We start from the raw sequence: 6000 nt of genomic DNA, 5'->3' as shown, positions 1-6000 counted from the left end.
GTTGGAAATGGAAAGGACTTTGGATGCCATCCAGCCGAGGACTGCCACACCACTGAGAGACCCAGGACACAGAGACACACGGCAGGCCACTGGCAGGGTCCTGCCAATGGGGTGGCTGACCAGAGCCAGGCCTGGCCAGTCCCAGCCCTCCTGCCAGCAAGGACGCAGATCAAAGCAGTGCATGGGCTGTTTGATTTTCTTGTAAGGTCTTGCTGAGTGGATAGTTTCACCCTGGGCTGCTCAGATCTCGGCGACAGAAAGGGAGAATGTGTCCTCTGTCCTCTCACGCCCTGTGTCTGTGCTCCTTGCAAAGGTTGTGAACACATTCACGTGGATTTAATTAATCGCCGCAGGTGCACGTCCACCTCTGCCTTTCCCTCTCAGTGGGTTCCCATGTTTCCACATGGTGGGTTGAGTGTCTGCACGCTAACTGGCTTAGACGTTTGGACGGTCTCCATTGTCAGCATCATTTATTCATTCAACAAACATCCACCGAGCATTTCCTGACCGCCAGATTCTCCTTTGGGTGCTGAGGGTGCAGCGGTGAACAAGTCACCATCCTCAGGAGCTGACATTCTGTAGTTCAGGGAGATGAACAATAAACCAAATAAACAGTAAGTAACCATGAGATGGACCATGTTGGGTGGGCATAAGTGCTCTGGAGAAAAACACACAGGCAAAGGAGTGCGGGGGGATTGGGCAGGTGCCTCTGTGGATACCAGGGCCAGCTCTGACCTTCCTGAGGGGGGCGGTCTGAGCAGGGGTGGAGGGGTGCCGGAGGGAAAACCTGGATGCCAGGGTTGGGGAAGTTGCTTCAAGAAAGCGCAAAGCCCCCAACACGAGAGCTTGACTGGTGGGGAAATGCGGGAGTTTCGGTGGGCTGGGGCAGGGTGAGCGACGAGCATTGAAATAACAGGACGTGGACGACGACGATCAGCAGGTCTGTCTCAGCAGGGGCCTCGTTACATGGGGCGGGGAGACTATTTCCTTGGGATCAGTGTTTAGGCCTAGAATCATTAGCTTTGGGGCTGCGTACATTTTCATGGCCCTGGCTCAGTAGTTGTTATTTCTGTACTGTTTTCCCTCGGTCCTGATCCAGTTTATAGTTACCACCGACAGGATATGATAATCATGCTAACCAACCCTTCCTGAGCACATGCGTGCTTCACACGTGTGAACCTGCTGATGCCTGCGTGAGCGTTGGCTTCATCACATCCTCCCCAGCACCTGCTTTTCTCATTTTAAAATAATTTTGTTAACATGAAGGTGTAGAACACCTCTCTCTGGACTTTGCTGATTTTAACTGGAATTTTAAAAATCCCCTAATAAGAAAGGCAGGCCAGGCGTGGTGGCTCACGCCTGTAATCCTAGCACTTTGGGAGGCTGAGACAAGCAGATCGCCTGAGCTTAGGAGTTTGAGACCAGCCTGGACAACATAGTGAAACCCCATCTCTACTAAAAATGCAAAAAATTAAGTGGGCGTGGTGGCGCACGCCTGAAGTCCCAGCTACTCCAGAGGCTGAGGCAGGAGAATCGCTTGAACCTGGGAGGCGGAGTTTGGGGTCAGCCGAGATCACGCCACTGCACTCCAGCCTGGGTGACAGAGCAAGACTCTGTCAAAAAAAAAAAAAGAAAAGAAAGGAAGGAAGAAAGAGAGAGAAAGAAAGAAAGAGAGAGAGAGAGAAAGAAAGAAGAAAGAAAGAGAGAGAAAGAAAGAAAGAAAGAAAGAAAGAAAGAAAGAAAGAAAGAAAGAAAGAAAAGAAAGAAAAGAAAGGCAGCCATAAGTGAACCCTAACACCAAGCTTGCAGAATTAAATGAGCAAATCGTGTCGCCTCTGCCTGCCTTTCTACCATCATTGCATACGAAGCTTGTTACTTATGTCTTCATCTCACTGTGTCCCCAAATCTGGGGCTGTGTGAGCTGATTTGGGGTGGGACACAGATGGCTGGGTTTTAGCCCTATTGTGAAGGGTGACTTTTAATGTGTAATCTATTTATGGCAAGTGACGTTGATCCACCACATATGGCAGTGCTATCAAGTAGCCAGTAAAAGTACATTTATTTAAGAAAATAAGCAGAGTGGAAGCATCGTGTCAGTGATGGGACAGGTGGTATTCAGCAGCCTCAAGGTGCTGGCGGCAGCTGATGTCTTAAAGACTGCACTGTCTCATTTAATCATCCCAAGCACGGATACTGGAGGGAGTCTTTTTTTTTTTTGAGACAGAGTCTCACTATGTCACCCAGGCTGGAGTGCACTGCCACAATCTCGGCTCACCGCAACCTCTGCCTCCTGGGTTCAAGCGATTCTCCTGCCTCAGCCTCCCGAGTAGCTGGGATTACAGGTGCGTCCCACCATGTCTGGCTGATTTTTGTATTTTTAGTAGAGATGGGGTTTCACCATGTTGGCCAGGCTGGTCTCGAACTCCTGACCTCAAGTGATATGCCTGCCTCGGCCTCCCAAAGTGCTGGGATTACAGGCATGAGCCACGGTTCCCGGCCTGGAGGAAGTCTTATTAGCCTCATTTCATGGAGGAGAAACTGGGGCTCCAGGGCATGGAGGCTGCCTGTGGCCACGCAGCCTGGGAGGCTTGTCAACCTCCTTTGACAAGCACGCCACCTGCATCACAGAACAGCTGCATTTCTAATGTCAGGCTTCTGCTTACATGCAGTTGGTCTTCTCCTGTGAATGGGGAAACTGAGGCCTTGGAAGTCAGTCAGCAGGTCAGGACACAGTTCAGCCCAGAGCCGGGGCTCTGGCCCCATCCAGGGGCTCCCCCAGCAGCCAACTCTGCCAGCCTTTGATGCCTCGCTGAGACAGAGGGTCTGGACAGTGGCCACTCACCCACTGGGCCCACATCCCCACAGGCCTGGGCTCTGGACGCTGGAGGCCTGAGGCTGCACCCCAGGTTGGGGCTGGCCTACCTGCCACGGGGCCAGGGCTGGGTGCTTTCTGCTGAGTCACTAACAAAGCTCAGGCCTGACCACAGGACATTTTTGAGATTCCAGGGCTGGTTCCACAACGGCCGGCATCGGCCCTGCGGCATGTCCGGCTTCACCCTGCCCAGAATCACAGCCTCACAGAGTCTAGAGGGCCCGTGGGGACGGGAGTCCTGGGAACCGAGGTTGGGAGACAATGGGTGGCCCCTCGGTGTGGTGTCCTCTGCTCACCCCTTAGCAGGACCCTGACGGAACTGGGTACAGGCAGAGATTCATCTTCATGGCAGGACTTCAGGCAAGAGAGGCCCCGGGGTTGAAGACAAGGGGCTCAGAGCTTGCTTTTTATACACTTTCAAATTTTCTCAGAGTAGAACAATTTAAAAAAATATAAAATATGGTTAAAAAATTCTCCTACTTAAGACTCCCAGACCCCTAGTTTTCCTCCCTAAAGGCAACTGACATTACCAGTTTCCTGGGTATCCATGCAGGGATATTTTATGCATAAACAACCAAATCTCTATACATGTCCATAGAGAGAGGCAGACGTATCTGCATGTGCATAAACACTCGTGTGTGTGTCCTTTTATCCCAAAGGAAACACTTCTTTTTCCCTTGACAAAGGACATCCTCTGCATCTAGCTTCTAGAAAGTGCTGCCAATTTGGGGACCAAGGGAGGGAGGCTGCAGAGGAACATCGTTTGGTCAAATGTGAAATGTGATCAGGAAGCCGGTGCTCAGCAAACTTATCTGAAGCTCTTGGGGACCCCACAAAGATGAGCGGGTCCCCTTCCCAATTTTCGGACCGTCTTGGCAGAGGCTCCCTGTCATCAAGGACCTGAGGTTGTCACAGCCGGATGGTGTGGGAGCTGGCACTGCCGGGGCTCCCGCTGCCTGGGACACGTACGGCTGCCCAGTGATCCTGAGCGCCGACCCCTGAGCACCTCAGTGTCCGTGACTGTGGAGCGGAGGTACGTGCAGAACCAGCTCTGTCTTCCCAGACACTGTCGCTTTGGTCTAAAGTGATGTAATGTTGCCACGGAAATTCTAATCCCTCCCATCAGGCAAAAATACTTCGATGGGACTGTGTTCTTTCAGCAGAGAGGGTGTGCATTTGAAGTATAGATTTGTTAAACATAGATGCTGAGAACATGACTCTGCTTGGCGTTCCATTTAATTGACCAGAAACCCGAAAAATGTCCTGGTCCTCTTCTTAAGTCTGGGGGTAGCTGCTGCCCCACTATGCACCATCGCTTATCTGTTCTTTTCTGCCCCCTGCAGCAGGGAAGGGGCTCTGGAAGGGTCTGAATCTGGTGTGTCCAGTGTGATCCCTGCACCCATGCCCGGAGCTGTGCCTGGGACCCTGCCCCAAGCAAAGTAATAATCTGAATGATATCCTCAAAGGAGCCTGGCTTGGGCTAACAAGGAAGAACTTCCAACGTGGAGAGCTGTCCTGGCACCATTTCTTCCTGCTGTATTAGTTGAAGACCTACTGTGTTCAGGGCCGTGAGCCAGGGCACAACCACCCCTTGGGAGCACACTCTGCCTCAACCCTGGAGTGGCTCCGAAATGAGTCTTCAGTCCACAAGACTGAGGGTTGCCAATCCTTCTCGGTGAGCCGTGAGGGTGATTCCTCCTTGGGCTTCAGGGGCAGGATGCCCTCAGAAAGATGCCCTCCACTGCCCCCGCACACTTCAGGCTCCCCATGACCCTATGTGGGGAAGGTGTTGTTGCAAGAGGCCCATGGGTGTGTGGGGGTAGTGGGGCTTGTTGGCTGAGCAAGAGCTCAGGCAATACTGCCCGGGTGGAGATTCTGGGACTTTGCACAAGTTGATTCACCTCAACCAGCCTCAATTTCCTTGTCTGTAAAATGGCGCAGTAGTAGTCCTTGTCTTACCGGGTTGTTATGCAACTTAAATAAGAATATCGAGGCCAAGCGCCTAGCCCAGTGCCTGACATGTCGAAAGTGCTTGGTGGGTGCCAGTCTTTCCCCTCCTCATCAAGTCCTGTGGCAGACAGGCCCCCCAGCAGAGCCGGACCTGCCCTGGGAGTCAGGGTAGGAAACAGATGAGGACCTCAGCCCGGGACTGGCTCCCCTTCGGCCAGCACTGTGCAATAGGAAGACTATGTCAGCCTCACCTATAATTTTTAACTTTCTAATGGTCACATTAAACAAAAAAAATTGGCTGGGTGTGGTGGCTCACGCCTATAATCCCAGCCCTTTAGGAGGCCGAGGCAGATGGATCACCTGAGGTTAGGAGTTTGAGACCAGCCTGGCCAACATGACGAAACCCCTCTCTCTACTGAAAATACAAAAATTAACTGGGTGTGGTGGCGCACGCCTGTAATTCCAGCTACTCAGGAGGCTGAGGCAGGAGAATTGCTGGAACCCGGGAGGCGGAGGTTGCAGTGAGCTGAGATCACGCCATTGCACTCCAGCCTGGGCAACAAAGCGAGACTCTGTTTCAAAAAAAAAAAATTCAATTTTTAATTTCTGTGGGTACATAGCAAGTGGTGGCCACATTTTAAAAAGTGAACAGGACAGGTGAAATACATTTTAATAATATGTTTTATTTAACCCAATATATCCAACATATGATGACAACATGCATTCGCCGTTGTGATTATTAGTGAAGTCTTTCACATCCCCTTTTTCCTACTAAGTCTTCAAAATCTGGGGTGTATTTTGTTCTTCCAGGGCATCTTGAAGCAGACCAGCCACGTTGCAAGTGCTTGGAGGCCACGGATGACTGGTGGCTGCTGTTCTGGGAGACAGAATCCTATAGCATCCCCAGTCCTGCAGCACACAGGTGGGACAATTCCAGCTTGATGTCTCAGCCAGCGGGTTCCCACGTCCTCCCCGCCTCTCCCAGGCAGAAGACAGAGTGACCCAGGTAACCAGGTATGGACAGGCGTATCCCTGGGAGAATTTTAGCAGGCTGCCCCAGCAGCAGGGTGTGTCTGTAACACCGTGCCCCCTGCCCCTCTCAAATCCACACAGTGGGCAGCTTACACAGGGACAGAAACCACACTGACTGTCGTTCCTGCCACCTGACTATTGTCCTG

General features: G+C 51.9%; 4 annotated features.

The window, feature by feature from the left end:
* Positions 2589-3163: an enhancer, noted in NCBI's record as "H3K27ac-H3K4me1 hESC enhancer chr11:69235307-69235881 (GRCh37/hg19 assembly coordinates)". NCBI's record gives its function as "activates a minimal SCP1, AML or CMV promoter by ChIP-STARR-seq in primed H9 embryonic stem cells {active_cell/tissue: H9 hESC(primed)}" and the evidence as "EXISTENCE:reporter gene assay evidence [ECO:0000049][PMID:30033119]".
* Positions 2885-3029: an enhancer, noted in NCBI's record as "145 bp enhancer 149 fragment used in the MPRA reporter construct; PK_construct_3358". NCBI's record gives its function as "activates an SV40 promoter by MPRA in HepG2 cells {active_cell/tissue: HepG2}" and the evidence as "EXISTENCE:reporter gene assay evidence [ECO:0000049][PMID:23512712]".
* Positions 2952-2962: a transcriptional cis regulatory region, noted in NCBI's record as "NFE2L2 motif; enhancer activity is reduced when this motif is scrambled". NCBI's record gives its function as "necessary for full MPRA enhancer 149 activity {active_cell/tissue: HepG2}" and the evidence as "EXISTENCE:site-directed mutagenesis evidence [ECO:0005528][PMID:23512712]".
* Positions 3738-4313: an enhancer, noted in NCBI's record as "H3K27ac-H3K4me1 hESC enhancer chr11:69234157-69234732 (GRCh37/hg19 assembly coordinates)". NCBI's record gives its function as "activates a minimal SCP1, AML or CMV promoter by ChIP-STARR-seq in primed H9 embryonic stem cells {active_cell/tissue: H9 hESC(primed)}" and the evidence as "EXISTENCE:reporter gene assay evidence [ECO:0000049][PMID:30033119]".

The sequence above is a fragment of the Homo sapiens genome, chromosome 11 (genome assembly GCF_000001405.40).
Source record: "Homo sapiens chromosome 11, GRCh38.p14 Primary Assembly".
NCBI classification, from domain to species: domain Eukaryota; kingdom Metazoa; phylum Chordata; class Mammalia; order Primates; family Hominidae; genus Homo; species Homo sapiens.
Note: the sequence above shows the minus strand (reverse complement) of the source record. Positions and strands in the feature narration are given on the sequence as shown.